Below are 14819 nucleotides of genomic sequence, written 5' to 3'. Positions count from 1 at the left end.
AAGGTGATTAAATTAAGGATCTTGAAATGAGATGGTGAATCCAGATTACCCAGGTGGGCCCAGTATTACAACGAACGAGGTTGTAAGAAGGAGGTGGGCAGAAAGAAAAGAACGAAAGCCTATCATTCACAGCAACATGAATGGAACTGGAGGTCATTATGTTAAGTGAAATAAGCCAGGCACAGAAAGACAAATAACCCATGTTCTCAATTATATCTGAGAGCTGAAAAGGTGGATCTCATGAAGATGGAGAGTAAATTGGTGGTTACCAGGAGCTGAGAAGGGTGGCAGGGAGAAAGGGAGAAAGAGGTTGATTAATGGCTATAAATACACACTTAGAAGAAATAAGACCCGGTGGCTGATAGATCAATAGGGCGACTATGGTTAACATTAATCAATTGTTCATTTCAAAATGGCTAGGCTTTCCTAGCAAAAAGAAAAGCCACATATTTAATGGGATGGATATCCCAATTACACTTTGATTACATGAATGTAGCAAATTCTCAAATGCCTCCTGAAAACATGTACATCTATTATGTTTCAATCAACTTTTTAAAAATTTTAAATGATAGCCAGGCATCGTGGTGCACACCTGTAATCCCAGCTACTCTGGAGGCTGAGTCATGAGAATCTCTTGAACCCTAGAGGCAGAGGTTGCAGCGAACCGAGATTGCACCACTGCACTCCAGCCCGGGCAACAGAGCAAGACCTCATCTCAAAAAATTAAAAATTTAGGCCGGGCGTGGTGGCTCATGCCTGTAATCCCAGGCCAAGGTGGGTGGATCACTTGAGGTCAGGAGTTCGTGACCAGCCTGGCCAACATGGTGAAACCTCATCTCTACTAAAAATGCAAAAATTAGCTGGGCATCATGGCGCATGCCTGTAATCCCAGCTGCTTGGGAGGCTGAGGCAGGAGAATCGCTTGAACCCAGAAGGTGCAGGTTGCAGTGAGCTGAGATTGCACCACTGCCCTCCAGCCTGAGTGACAGAGGGAGACTCCATCTCAAAATAAATAAATAAATAAAAGTTTAAAAATTCAAAATACGTTTAAATGAAACGAAGAGGTGGATAGGAGATCAGAGTGACTATGGGAACAAGGGTTATAGACAGGGAGAGAGAGATTTGAAGACGTCATGCTGGCTGTGAAGATGGAGGAAGGGGTCTACCCCACAGAGCAGGAACTCTACGTGATTCACTGATACCCGTATAGCACCCAGAATAGCATCTGGCACATAGTAGCCGTCCAATAAACAGTCATTGAATGAACAAAGAATTAGAAACTACTTGCAGGTTCTTTGGTGAGGGGGCAGGAACCCACATTTTGCTGGATTTTCCCAAGAGGCCAGCACTGTGTGAACCCTTATGTCATCTCCTAAGAAACACACTAGGATGAAGGTGTTATCCTCACTGCGCATATGAGATGAACAGACAGCACATCTTAACAAAACGCAAACTAGAAATTCTAATGCAAAGATGATCTAACATAATGTATGGTCCTATTATTGTGAAGTCACTGTATGGACACAATTAACTGATCTGAATTCGATATGGAAGAAAAAGATGAGCACAGTCTTAAATTTATCTACTATCCCTACTATCCCACCAAATGAGTGTATGCCCCCCAGTGAGTGAAACAAGGGAAGCACGAACTCACTGGCCTTATGTTCTGCATGTCTCTCATCGTATGAGTATCTTTCCAGGCTGAGAATGAGTCCAGTGTTTAGAGATACACATTTTCCCCTATGCAATACAGCCCTCAAATGGAAGACCGCTATTTCATTTGATGTTCAACTAAAGAAACATTACCAGCACTGGAGAAAACAAAACAAAACAAGACTAGCTATGTTGAACTAGTTGCAAATAATGGTTATCCTTGAGTTATTATTGATTCTTATTTTCCCCACAACCTGTGTCCAACCCACCAGCTGTCCCTGTCAATGCCCCCTACAAAGCATGAACTGAATCTGCTGCAACTTCCCAACCTCAACCCCACCACAAAGGAGGCCAAGCTTCCAGCATCTCCGGCCTGCACTGCTGCAAAACCTCCTAGCTGGCCTCCCTGCTTCCCCCACTACCAGCCTGCAATCCATGCTCCCCATAGAACACGAAAAGAGAATGAGAGAACTCGAAAAGGGAATTCAGATCATGAAGTGTCCTTGCTCAGAACTCTCCCAACACACTTGGAAAACAAACCCCAAAGCATCTATAATTCCCTGCCTGCTTGGCTCCATCCCGGGCCAGTCTCCCTGGGGCTGCTTTGTCCTGGCTTATTCTCTCCGCAGGAGCTTATCCTAGCTCTTCCCTCTGCCTGGATGATCTTTTTTCCTTCCATCTTTGCCTGAGGCTCCTTCTTGTCACTCAGATCTCGGCTGAAATGTCACCTCCTGGGAGAAGACTTTCCTTGTCATTTCCTATTACCATGTAGGTCTTTGAATAGTGCTTAATACCCACTGATGTGTGCTGACTGGAACCCTGCACCAGATGCCAGGCTCTATAAGAGCAGGGACCTTGCCTGCCTCAATCACATCTGCCACCCCAGTAGAGAAAGTTGCCTGACATATATGGGGGTTCCAAGTGTACCCCTCAAATGGATTTATTAAGGACACGCTTACTTATCTTTGTTTTTTGCTTACTTGGTTACTTCAGAACTTGCCCCAGGGAAAAAATATGTGAATCTGCTATAGAAAAGAAGTAGGTATTTTATAGATGAAGAAATGGACGGCTAAAGAGACCATGTGATTTGCCCAAGATCACACGGCTGTAAGTGGTGAGTTGGGCTTTAAACCCAGGCCTGTCCGATTCTAATTCTCAGGTTCTTTCTACCATGCCACAATGCCTTCTTGGGCGTTGGGAGCCCAAGAACAGGATGGAGCTGGCCTGGGAAGCACTTCAGCTAGGAGAGGTGGATGGGATCCCCAGTGGAGGTGCGCTGAAAGCCAGCATGCTGAGAGCTCAGGCTCAGGCGACCCCCATGCAGCAGCTCAGTGGCCTTGCAAGAAACTTAAGTTCTCTAAATTTCTGCTTCCTCCAGTGGAAAATGAAGACTATAGTAGCTGTTCCATAGGACAGGTATAAGGATTTCATGAGCTATTATACATACTATATTTAGCAAGGTACCTGGTGCACAGTAGGCCCTTCATAAATAGTAGCATCATTGCTATCAGTATCACCAGGACAAAATTTGCACATTCACAGTTATCTGCAAAGCCACACTAAGTCTTGACTCTACCAGTGGTGGGTCAGAGGGTCCCCCTAAATGACCAGTTACTTCTCCTTTCAGCCAAGGCTTCAACTGAGCAGGAGCTGACTATATGCCTCTTTGGGTAGACTTGAGGGAAGGGGCCCAGGAACCTTGTCCATATCTAGCTTGAGAAAAATGAGAACTAGTCTTTTTCTTTTTCAGAATCACCACCCAAGCCCCAGTGGTACTCATAGCTGCTAACTCTGGCTTGATTTCAATACCATCTTCCCCTTCTCAAACACCTGCCGTGGCCTATGGTGTCTGCACAAGTCCACTAGAATTAGACTATTAGAAAAAGCCCACTTACACTAATTTAAAAAAAATCTATCTCCCTTTTGCTTATTGTTGGCCCTTGTGACAATTTAGAGCGAGTCTAATGGTCCAGCCGTAGCCCTTTCCACATTGGGAAGCAGCTGTCAGTCTTCCTATTTCCTTCAGCGTCAGCTCTCACGGGAATGATCTCCAGCCCTATCACTCATCTGGTTACTCTTTCTAGTTTGTCTAAATCCTTTTTAAAATGCTGTGCTCAGAATGACATGCAGTACTCCAGATATGATCTGATAGTGTGGGGATCGCTATCACAACAGACAGTGTGGGGTTATAACCTCTCCATTCTCTATTTAACTCAAGGCATTGGGCAACCATGTGACATAGATACCTTTTGCAGTGTTTACTGTCAAATGAAATTCCGCAGTTGTTTTTCGACATCGGCCTCCAGCCTTCCCTTTCATGCATGGGTATGTCAGAGTCAGGGAATATTTTGGGAGGTTTTGGTGCCACAGAGTTGGCTCCACATACATCAAGTTCTGATGTTGCAACATTAGCTAGTAGCTGAGACCACATCAAGACCTTGTTCTAGGGTCAGGGCTTGGTGACAGTGGCCCAAGGCACACAGAGTCATAGATTTTTTTTTTTTTTTTTTAAAGACAGATTCTGCACTCTGTCGCCCATGCTGCAGTGCAGTGGCATGATCTCAGCTCACTGCAACCTCCGCCTCCCAGGTTCAAGCAATTCTCCTGGCTCAGCCTCCTGAGTAGCTGGGATTACAGGTGCATGTCACCATGCCCAACTATTTTTTTTTTTTTGTATTTTTTTAGTAGAGATGGCATTTCACCACGTTGGCCAGGCTACTCTCAAACTCCTGACCTCACATGATCCACATGCCTCGGCCCCTCAAAGTGCTGGGATTACAGGTATGAGCCACTGTGCCTGGCCCTGAGTCATAGACTCTAAGGAATCCAGTTTAGTGTAGGGCCTGCTGTTCTTGCCTCTGACCCAACAAGTGCAGGGATCCTTGGGAATTCTGCTAAGCTTTAAGATTTGACCATGGGTGCACAAGTCCAAAGATAAGTCAAAAACCACAGCATCAGTCTGTGTGTTTGTTATGAGTAAGATCCCAGACTTTCTTCAGTCCAGATATTTACCAGCAAAGATCCCAGCACATAGGGGAGAAACACCTGGAAGTCTGGGAGAGGTACAGAGAGACTGGGTCCCTGGGGCTGAGTATTAAGAAAGTAGGGTACACAGTGGTCCTCAGTAACATAGGAACCAAACGCAGATCAGGAATCAGAACAGGGTGCTGAGGTCAGACAGACACTGCTTCATGCTGCACTGCAGCCTTTCTAGTGTTCAGCAACCTATTTTATTCTAGGACATGGTCTCAGCTCCAGAGTAAGTGAAAGCGAGACAGAACCTTGTCTTTGTTCATTGTCCAGCAGCATGGGGTTCTGGTTCTCCTGTGTTCCTGGCTTCCCCAGTGGAATCCCTTTCTCTTACCTCCATCACTGGATTTCTAGAGAGATGACCAGTTCGGGGGCACATTTTTGTCTGCTGTTAATTAATAACAGTTTGTGTATCTATGGATGTTAAATGCAAGTTAATCACCTTCCATTTGGTATTTGTTTCCATTTTAAAAACCAATATCACAGTTCCTCCTTTGTCTCCAACCTAAGTTAGATGCTAATTAGAATTCTTTTTTGAATTCTCATTGTATGCTATGCTTTCCTTTCTTAACTTTGGCTACAAAGATAAAGAAAGATGTGTATAATGACTTGTTCGATGTCTATCTCCCTAATAGACTGTGAGGCCTGTGAAGACAGGAGCTACATCTTTCTTTCTTTTTTTTTTTTTTCAAATGGAGTGTCATTCTGTCACCGAAGCTGGAGTGCAGAGTTCAATGGCACGATCTCAGCTCACTGCAACCCCTGCCTCCCAGGTTCAAGCAATTCTCCTGCCTTAGCCTCCTGAGTAGCTGGGATTACAGGCATGTGCCATCATGCCTGGCTAATTTTTGTATTTTTAGTGGAGACGGGGTTTCACCATGTTGGCCAGGCTGGTCGAGAACTCCTGACCTCAGTGATCCACCTGCCTTGGCCTCCCAAAGTGCTGGGATTACAGGCGTGACCCCTGTGCCCAGCCAGGAGCTATATCCCCTGCACCCAGCCAGGAGCTACATCTACCTCATTCCATGGCTTATCTTCCAGTACAGTGCCTGGTGCACAGTGGTTGTTCATAAATATTAGATGAGTGAGTGAGTCAATGAGTGAATGAATGAATGAATGAGGCAAATCATGGTTACAGTTGGGACTTGACTTTGTGACCAAGATTTTTCCACTAGGCGCTACATCGCCCTGGGGTTAGAAGGTAGACCAGCTGGCCCACCCCATTTATCCAACCTGCTTGCAATCCTGTGTCTACCTGCAACCCCCAGCCTTATAACTCTAGTTAGTCATCTTTGAGGTCAACCCCTCCCCATTTTATTTGTGTCTTTCTCCATTTGTCTGTCTTTGGAATTCAATTTCTTCCATCTCTATTGTCTGGCTTCTGATATGGGACTGGCTTTCTTATTAAAAGGAATTCCAGTTGTGTTTTTTCTTGGTTTATTTTATTCTTGTCTAGGCTATAGGTGTCCCTGCATTCTGAGGCCACTAATGTTAGATTGTCTCTTTTTCATTTAGTACCTTTTGGGACCTTATCAAGCTGCTACTGCTCCAATCTGGCCTCACTGAAAGGCCTGATCATATACCCTGTTTGGTTCTATACAGGCTTTATACGATAAAGCCAAGAGGAGGTTGGGCACAGCGGCTCCCACCTGTAATTCTAGCACTTTGGGATGCCAAAGTGGGAGGATCACTTGAGCTCAGAAGTTCAAGACGAGACTTGGCAACCTCAGGAAACCCCATCTCTACAAAAAAAAAAAAAAAAAAAATTTAGCTGGGCATAGTGACATGTGCCTGTAGTCCCAGCCAGTCAGGAAGCTGAAGCAGGGGGATGACCTGAGCCCAGGATGTTGAGGGTGCAGGCAGCCGTGACTGAGCCACTGCACTCCAGCCTGGGTGACAGAGTGAGACACTGTCTCAAAAAAAAGACAAGGGGATTTCTAGTCAACATTTACTTACATTATAATATAGAACATGTAAGACTTTTTTGTTCTTCAAACTTCATAGTATTTTTGAGGAGGAGCTGCTTTACAATAGAATGGAGAGGAAAGAACTGGGGTGATACCTAAGACGAGAACATCAAGATACACTATTAAAGATCACTGGGCTACTCAAGATGCACAGGCTAGCAGTGTGACCATGAACAAGTCACTTTTGTGGGCTACAGCTTCCGAATTTGTAAAACAAAGGTATCAGTAGTTTCTCAGATGCCTTCGAAGTTTTATGATTCTCTAGCATTTTGAGTTTTTCAGAAGAAAGTTTGTTATAGAAATACTAAGAATAATTGCTAACTGCCCCAGTTTGCACACAATCAGAACTTTGTGTTAATTTGTTCATAGACCAAGTTGAACTTGCATTAGTGCCCTTGACAAAATAAGTATTGGCTTTTTAAATTCTTTAATTACCACGAGACTGGTGTATTGACATGGTTCTCAGAGCAATCTTAGAGAACAAGGAACTGTTTATGAGTCTAGTAATCTTGCAGTAGGCTATTCATTCTTTGGTATTTGGTTTGACCTTTATTTTTCTTTTTCAGTCACATTGATTTAAATATCATTAGCCCAAAAATGTACCAAAGGGTAACTGCATTGACTGTTATGGCTCCCCTCAGCTATTACTTTGCAATTCATCTTTTATGGCAAAGCTTCCCTCATAAATGAGCCAAGAGGGCTGAGTTTGAATCGCAGTCACACTTTTTGCAGCAAGTGGGGAGTGTACTTTAAATGTAACAAAAGCAAAGCACAGGATCAGGGAAAACATTTGCTAAATGGCAAATGGCTATTTGGATCTATTCAAGGGAGTGTATGTTATGAGAGGTGTGAATGGCACTATTCAATTGTATTATATTAAAAAGGAAAATGAGTGAAAATCAGTTCCCATGAAACTGTACATTTCCATTGAAAAATCTCCCTGGTTGATTACATTTTGGATCTTACAATTAACCCTTGTTAATTGTTCAATTAACCCATTAATATTCCACCATTTCTTAATTGTACAATTGTACAATGGATGTTTCGTGGAAGCTGGTGGGTCTATCCCTAAACTGAAGAACTACATTTCTTAATTGTACAATTATACAATTAATTAGTAGTACAATTAACAGGGGTTAATTGGAAGATTCAGTTGGCCAGGTGCAGTGCCTCATGTCTGTAATCCCAGCAATTTGGGAGGCCAAGGCAAGTGGATTGCTTGACCCAGGAGTTCGAGACCAATCTGGGCAACATGACAAGACTCTGTCTCTATGAAGCATTTTTTTTTTTTTTTTTTTAAAAAAGAAAGCCTGGCATGGTGGTAAGCGCCTGTAGTCCCAGCTACTCAGGAGGCTTAGGTGGGAGGATCCCTTGGAATTCACCTGGTGGCAGAGCAAGACCCTGACTGAGAGAGAGAGAGAGAGAGAGAGAGAGAGAGAGAGAGAGAGAGAAATTGTAAGATTCAAATAGCCCAAAGGTTTCTAAGAGCCACCAGAGAAGAAAGAGAATCTTTAGGGATGCAGGACTTATTGTTTCCAAATGTGATATCTTTCATCCCATAAGGTCAGAGCTCAGAAAAAAGGAAAAGAGTAAGAAAGCCTCTGTCACCTCAGAATTTAAACATTTTTGGTTAACTGTCTTTTTAAGTCTATTTTCTCTGACTGAAATTCCAAAGCTGGGGGAGATTTGGATTGTAGGGAAGGAGTCTCCCAGGTTCATCTTATCCTTGTTAAACATCTGTCATGATGTTAATGGATGTTTAGTGGAAGCTGGTGGGTCTAACCCTCAACTAAAGCAGTTTTTTCCCACAGCCCTTCTGCTGGATTTGTGTTGGGAACCACTTTTTATAATTAACCAGCCAGTGCCCTGTCTTTGGGGCAAAAGAAGAGTCAGCTACAATGTGACGAAAAGAAACAATGAAGAATTTAAAAACTCATATTCCTGTAGCGCTCCTGTTTTGTGGAGGGTTTGTGTATTTTCACTGTCCTCTCCTCTCCCCTCCCAATCTCCCTCCTCCCCAGCCTCTAAAATGCTTGCCCTTTCCATAGGTTACTCTTTTCTTATCCAAGTTTTCAAACCTGAATTTGCAACACCTACCATTCTTAAGAAATGGTGGAAAATTCTTCCAAGAATCCTCATTCATTCCAACTAAAGGAAGAAAGTATGTTTTCTCTTTCAAAAACTAGAGGCAGAGGGAGGGGCTTAAAGAAGCAAATAAAAGAGGTTTCAGAAGACTAAACAAAGTTAACAATGCAACTACTAAAAAGGGATTGGAAATTATTGAATTCTACAAACTTATTGTTAGATTTTTTTAAAAAAACTGGAAAACTGAAGAAGACACCAGATCAAAATGTAAAGTGAAGCCCCATATGATGCCAGTTCACCAAAACCTACTGACCTTCCACAGTGAGAGAAGTGTGGCTGATGTGCAGCCCAGGCAGGCACCACATCTCCAGGACCCCATGGAGTGGATGGTGGTCACGTGACCACATTCTGGCCAATGGATGAGAAGGGTGCTACTTCTAGACAAGTCTGTCACACTTTGCAAGCATGCCCCTCACGTTCTTCCCTTTTTTTTCCTGCTGGCTGGCTATCTGGGCATGACACCTAGACAGGCAAGACAAATGGTTTAGAGAATAGAGAATAAACAAGCAGGAAGCAACCTGGGTCCCTGAGTCACTGCGTGGACAAACCCTCCTGCTGATCAGGCGCACCACCCAGGACTGTTAGGTAAGAAAGGAATCAACTTCTATCTTACCTGAGTCATTGCATTTTTGGGGTCTTCTCATTACAATAGTTTATTGTGATGCTAACTGATAATTTAGGTGTTGGTCTTTAGCAATTAAATCACAAAGCATATGAACAATAGACTTTTTGTCAACGACCTTATGATTGCTGTATTGGCAGAGAATCCATGGCAGTGTGACTGTCCCCTTACGTGAGCCCTACGCAGGCAGAAACCATGCCTCCCCCTTACTTACCCTTTGCACAGAAACAGTGCTTCTGTGTGCAAGGCCAAAAATCACTGGGAGGTAATACTCCATAGTGACAATGGTGAAGACGACTAGCATGAATCTCTATGATGCAGGTCTGCACTTCTTTGTCTCCCCTGCTCATTTTCAAAGCTGGCTGAATTCAGCAGGAGGGAAATCTGGCATTAAGCTCAGCTGTTCTCTGTGCTGGGGTGCCACAGAAAATCAACAGTGGGCACAAGCGTACCCTTGTTCGTCCTTTCTCCAGGACACAACAGCCTCTTTTAATTGGCACCTCAGCAGTGGCAACTTCTTCCACCAAACCAGTCTCTATACTAATGTCCTGTTATCATGGAGGTCTCATCTACCTTTGATGGAGGGCTTTCCAATGTCCCTCTTGGGCTCCACTCCGTCCTCAATGCTAGAGCTTCTCCCAGTGCTGCTGCAGAAAGCCCTGAGCATCCAGCTATCCATCTATCCAGCTATCCACCACTTCCATTGCCTGACCACAGCCCCATCTCCCCACAAGCAAATAACAGCTTCAAGTTACCTTCCGGTTACCTTTTGAGATGGGTCCGTTCTTCTTGTAATGTTTGCAAAACATTGTAGAGGAGAGAGCTAACTACAGGAAATGCTCTAGGTTTCAAATAATACACATATAAATTGTCTATTCAAATCTGTCAGTTGACACCTGCCACTGAAGATGGCACTGGCAGAGTAAAGGATCTATCTTATTTTTGGTGGTATATTGGAGCAAAACTACAGAAATAACTCACATGTCCAGAAATTAGCAGCCTGACAACCTGACTCATCTTGAATACAGGTAAATATCAGGAAGTAACAAAAAGGGTCTCCAAGTGGCTAGCATACATGAGGAGAGTGGAAAACAAAGATGAAAAGTGGAAAACCCAGAGGAGAGTTCCTAAGACCGTATATTGAAGCCTTTGTTTTTTAAAAATAACAATTAGAATAAGTTAACTTCATCTGGATTCCCAGTCCACAGAGAGTCAGAAACAAAAGCTGAGAATGAAAAATGAAACCCCATTGGCTGAAAGTGATGTTGCAGACAAAAAAAAAAAGGAAGAAAGGAAAGAAAGAAAGAGAGAGAGAGAAAGAAAGAAAGAAAGAAAGAAAGAGAGAAAAAGAAAGAAAGAAAAGAAAGAAAGAAAGAAAGAAAGAAAGAAAGAAAGAAAGAAAGAAAGAAAGAAAGAGATATTAAAACAGACACAACTAAGAAACCCATAAGGCTCACAGAGCATTGAGTGAACAACTCACTGTCTGACTAGCCTCAGTTACCCTGAGGATACATCTGTATTATAACACAGTTTTACAAGTGATGCACCCAATAGGTTTTTGAGCTTTGGTGTTTAAAAACACTGGACTTTCATCAGTCTGTAAATTTTAATATATAATTGAAGTACTCACTATTCAGAAATGCCTTTAAATGAGCTATCATGCTGGTGCAGTGGCTCACGCCTGTAATCCAGGCACTTTAGGAGGCCAAGGCAGGTGGACTGCTTGAGCTCAGGAGTTCAAGGCCAGCCTGGGCAACATGGTGGAACTCCATCTCTATGAAAATACAAAAATTAGCCAAGTGTCGTGGCATGCGCCTGTAGTCCAGTTACTTGGGAGGCTGAGGTGGGAAGACAGCCTGAGCCCCGGAGGTGGAGGTTGTAATGAGCTGTGATTGCGCCACTGCACTCTAGCCTGGATGACAGAACGAGACCCTGTCTCAAAATAAATAAATTAATAAATAAATAAATAAGCAAGCTATCGTTACCTCATTATAGAGATAAAAACCTCTGGATTAATAGTTCTGTGTTGTGCACACTCGTTGTGTAAATTAGACTCCCCATTTCCTCATGTACACTCATGCCAAGAGGCCAGCACTAGGAAAACGTCAGCATTCCTTGTGGTTATAAGTTGACAACAGAAACAATCCATAGTCTGGAGGTGACCAGGACTCTTGGAAGATGGAGGAACATTTTTCTTGAGGGTAGGTGAAGGCTATAAGCCAAAGGCAGAGGCTGAGGCACGAGTCAGAGCATGCCTGTGGCTTCTGCATCTGCAGAGCTGGAAGTCTTATCTGCAAAGTTAGTGAAGGAGGCAAAGCTCTCACCTAATATGCTCTTCCACTCTTTCTGTACTTATCTGACACCTTCCTCTTCTTTTAAGGTTGAGTTCAAGCTGTATCTTACAGTGCCATTTATGACCACATTGGCCCTTCCTGGTCTTCCCCTTCTTAAGTCTGCTCATATGATTATCTAAATTACTCACTTGGCACTTGTCATAACTGTTTTATTTTGTTGTGTATGTATTGTTAAAACAAATAAGAAGGAAGCCATTAGCTGGAGGTTGTCTTGGTAACCAGAGCTCTTATATAAGCAAACCAGAACTTAACTTGAAAACATTTCTTGTAATTGACTTTAAAACAAAATGAGCCTCAGCCAATTGCAAGCAGCCAACTAGCCAATTGGTTATATAACTAGAGACCTCACATCAGACCATACTCAAATAAGGCAAACACTTATCTATAGCCAATCAGGTAATTTTGCCTCTGTGTTCAGTCTATAAAAGCTTGCTGCTCATGCTGCTGGAGTGAAGCTCCCTGAATCTCTTTAAGTTCTGATCACTGCCCAACTTATGAATCATTCTTTGCTCAAATAAAATCTGTTAAATTTGTCTAAAGTTTTTCTTTTAACAATTTGGTGTCATAAGTGAGATCTGAAGGAACCCTTATGCAACTCTCAGGAGCAGTGAGTGATGAAGCAAAGGTACACACCAGGCTCACTGTGCCCACTGCTCTTTCATTACAACTGAAGGTCATGGGTGAGTTCCTTCTTAGCTTCCAACTCTGCAAGTTTACATTTTGAGCTCTCTCTGTAACTCTATTTGAATAATTATTTAGCCAGATTGGATTCAAAATCAGATTGGATCTGATAATTAACTTTACTGAATCCAGTTAGGAGCCTTGGGTAGGTGGCTTCTGAAAACAGGTTCTTTTAAGATTCCAGGAGTCTGGGACTTCATTTTGTGAGACACTAGCTACATTTATGTACAAAACTTATGGTTCAAAAACCTGTGTATTTTTGGATAAATAGGTTAACCTTACTAAAGATAACATAATTACAGTGTTAACAACAGGGAAGTTTAAACTGGCAAGGCACATTAGAAGAAAAAAGCAGATTCCAAAGTGCCTCAAAAACAATGGGATGGATTTTTAATTGGCATGCTGAGGCTTCTAAAAAACTAAACGAATCAAAGACTGCCTTTCCAAAAGACTCTTTACAAAAGGCAAATGAGAACTTTTAAGTATTTTTTCCACAAATACTCATTGAAAACTTTAGCCATCTAGATCGGTAATGTTGTTCCACGGGCCAGAAATACAGCTCAAATCCAGATTTTTTAACAAACGAATGAGCTTTATATTATTGTACCTGGCACATGACTCACACAATTAAAATTTAATAATGAAAGCCTCAGCCAATCACAAACAGCCAACCAGGTTATTGGAGATACAATTAGGGACCTCCCATAGGACCATATCCAAATAATGCAAATAACTCATTATATAATACTCAAATACAGCTATATTGTATAGACAGAACAATACATGAATTGTTCTCTGCTGAAGTAAACTCTATTAAATTTAATCTGTGACAAGACATGGTGGCTCATGCTTATAATACCAGCACTTTGGGAGGCCAAAGCAGGAGGACTGCTTGAGCCCAGGAAGTAGAGGATGCAGTGAGCTATGATCATACCACTGCATTCTAGCCTGGGCAACAGAGCAAATCCCCATCTCTCAAAAAAATAAAAAATAAATAAAATAAATGTAATTTGTCTAAAGTAATTTTATAATGGTATATATGTATGCACATATGTATATATTTTAATTTTTGTTATAGTATAATTTATATATTTCAAATAGACAAAAATTAATATCATTTACAGTATCTTAAGATAAATTGCCTTTGAATGAGAGCTTTCTTCTCTATAGTTTGAGGTCTACAAGACATAGCTAGAAAACTTACTACTGTGGAGAACAAAGACCGATGAAATCAAATGAGGGAAGGGGAAGACCTATATTTTTTTCTTTTTAATTTCTGTAATATTGTCGTTCAGGTGACTGAGAGAGTTTCATATTTTCTTTAGATATCATTAGGCACCAAAGCTCTTACAGAACAACTCTAATGCAATATGAATTCTACCACTTTGCTAGCACTGATATGTGGCTCTTGGGCCCACTATTCTATTAGCACTATTATATTCATATTGATTTTGTTACAAATCTTACAAACTGGGGGTGCTTCTGGGGATTTAGGTTCACATTCCATTTTAAGGTTGTATATTCGGTTTTTATAAATTGTACTTGGAGGCCCAATGATTATCCTTGTCCATCTTGTATTATATCCTCATTATCTTCTAGACCCCAAGCTAACTGTGCCATCACTTCTTCCTTTCTGGTCTTCTTTGAGTTCTTGCAACAGTCAGAGATTTCAAGGCACTTTTATTCCTGAGCCTGCAGTGGCTGCCATCTTGCATCAGCATTCATGGAGATGGTATTTAAAACCGTGAGTGTGTGTAAGGTCACCAGTGGGGTGAGTGTTCATAGAGATGAAAAGAGATACAAGGACTCCTACTTCCTCTTTCCCCAACTGTTTTAGGGGGAAAAAAAGTCATAGGCTGGTGGCAAAATTAATTCTTCAAGAATTTGATTCTGTTTTAAGATAAGCATGTGTGAGTCCACACTTTGGAGCATGCAGAAATGAGAAATGAGAAGACAATCCAGCAGCTAAATGACAGAACCCATGGAGAGAAACAAATGCAGCAAATCCTCCAGTTACTACAGCTCACCCAGCTGTGCTGCTCAACTGCCTGTGGTTGTGGTTGAGCTTTATATTTTGTTTGTTTTGTGGCATTCTCATTTTGGAAGGAAGAGAAAAATAACTAGAAAACAAAGTTTCATCAGTATTTTAGGACAAAAAGTAACTTCCAGTCTCTATCCTTCAACTTTTGACAGTCTTTATTCCTGTTCTAAGAGCCGATGAGTAGAGTTAACCTAAAAAGCCACAAGGTCTTGGCTAAGCAAACAAAGGTTCAGTTTCATTCACTGAGCTATGCTTTAGAAGGCGGAGGTAGTAGGTAGGTAGATAGGTAGATGATAGATAGATAGATAGATAGATAGATAGATAGA

The 14819-nt window shown here is 42.0% G+C and overlaps 1 pseudogene; it reads right to left on the bottom strand.

Moving 5' to 3' along the window:
* Positions 1–13597: 13597 nt before the first annotated feature.
* On the bottom strand, positions 13598–14269 carry LOC107986914 (ubiquitin-conjugating enzyme E2 variant 1-like; annotated as a pseudogene).
* Between the last annotated feature and the right edge of the window lie 550 nt (positions 14270–14819).

Source organism: Homo sapiens, chromosome 8, assembly GCF_000001405.40.
Source record: "Homo sapiens chromosome 8, GRCh38.p14 Primary Assembly".
NCBI classification, from domain to species: Eukaryota; Metazoa; Chordata; class Mammalia; order Primates; family Hominidae; genus Homo; species Homo sapiens.
The sequence above is the reverse complement of the archived record's forward strand: the minus strand, read 5'-3'. Positions and strand labels throughout refer to the sequence as shown.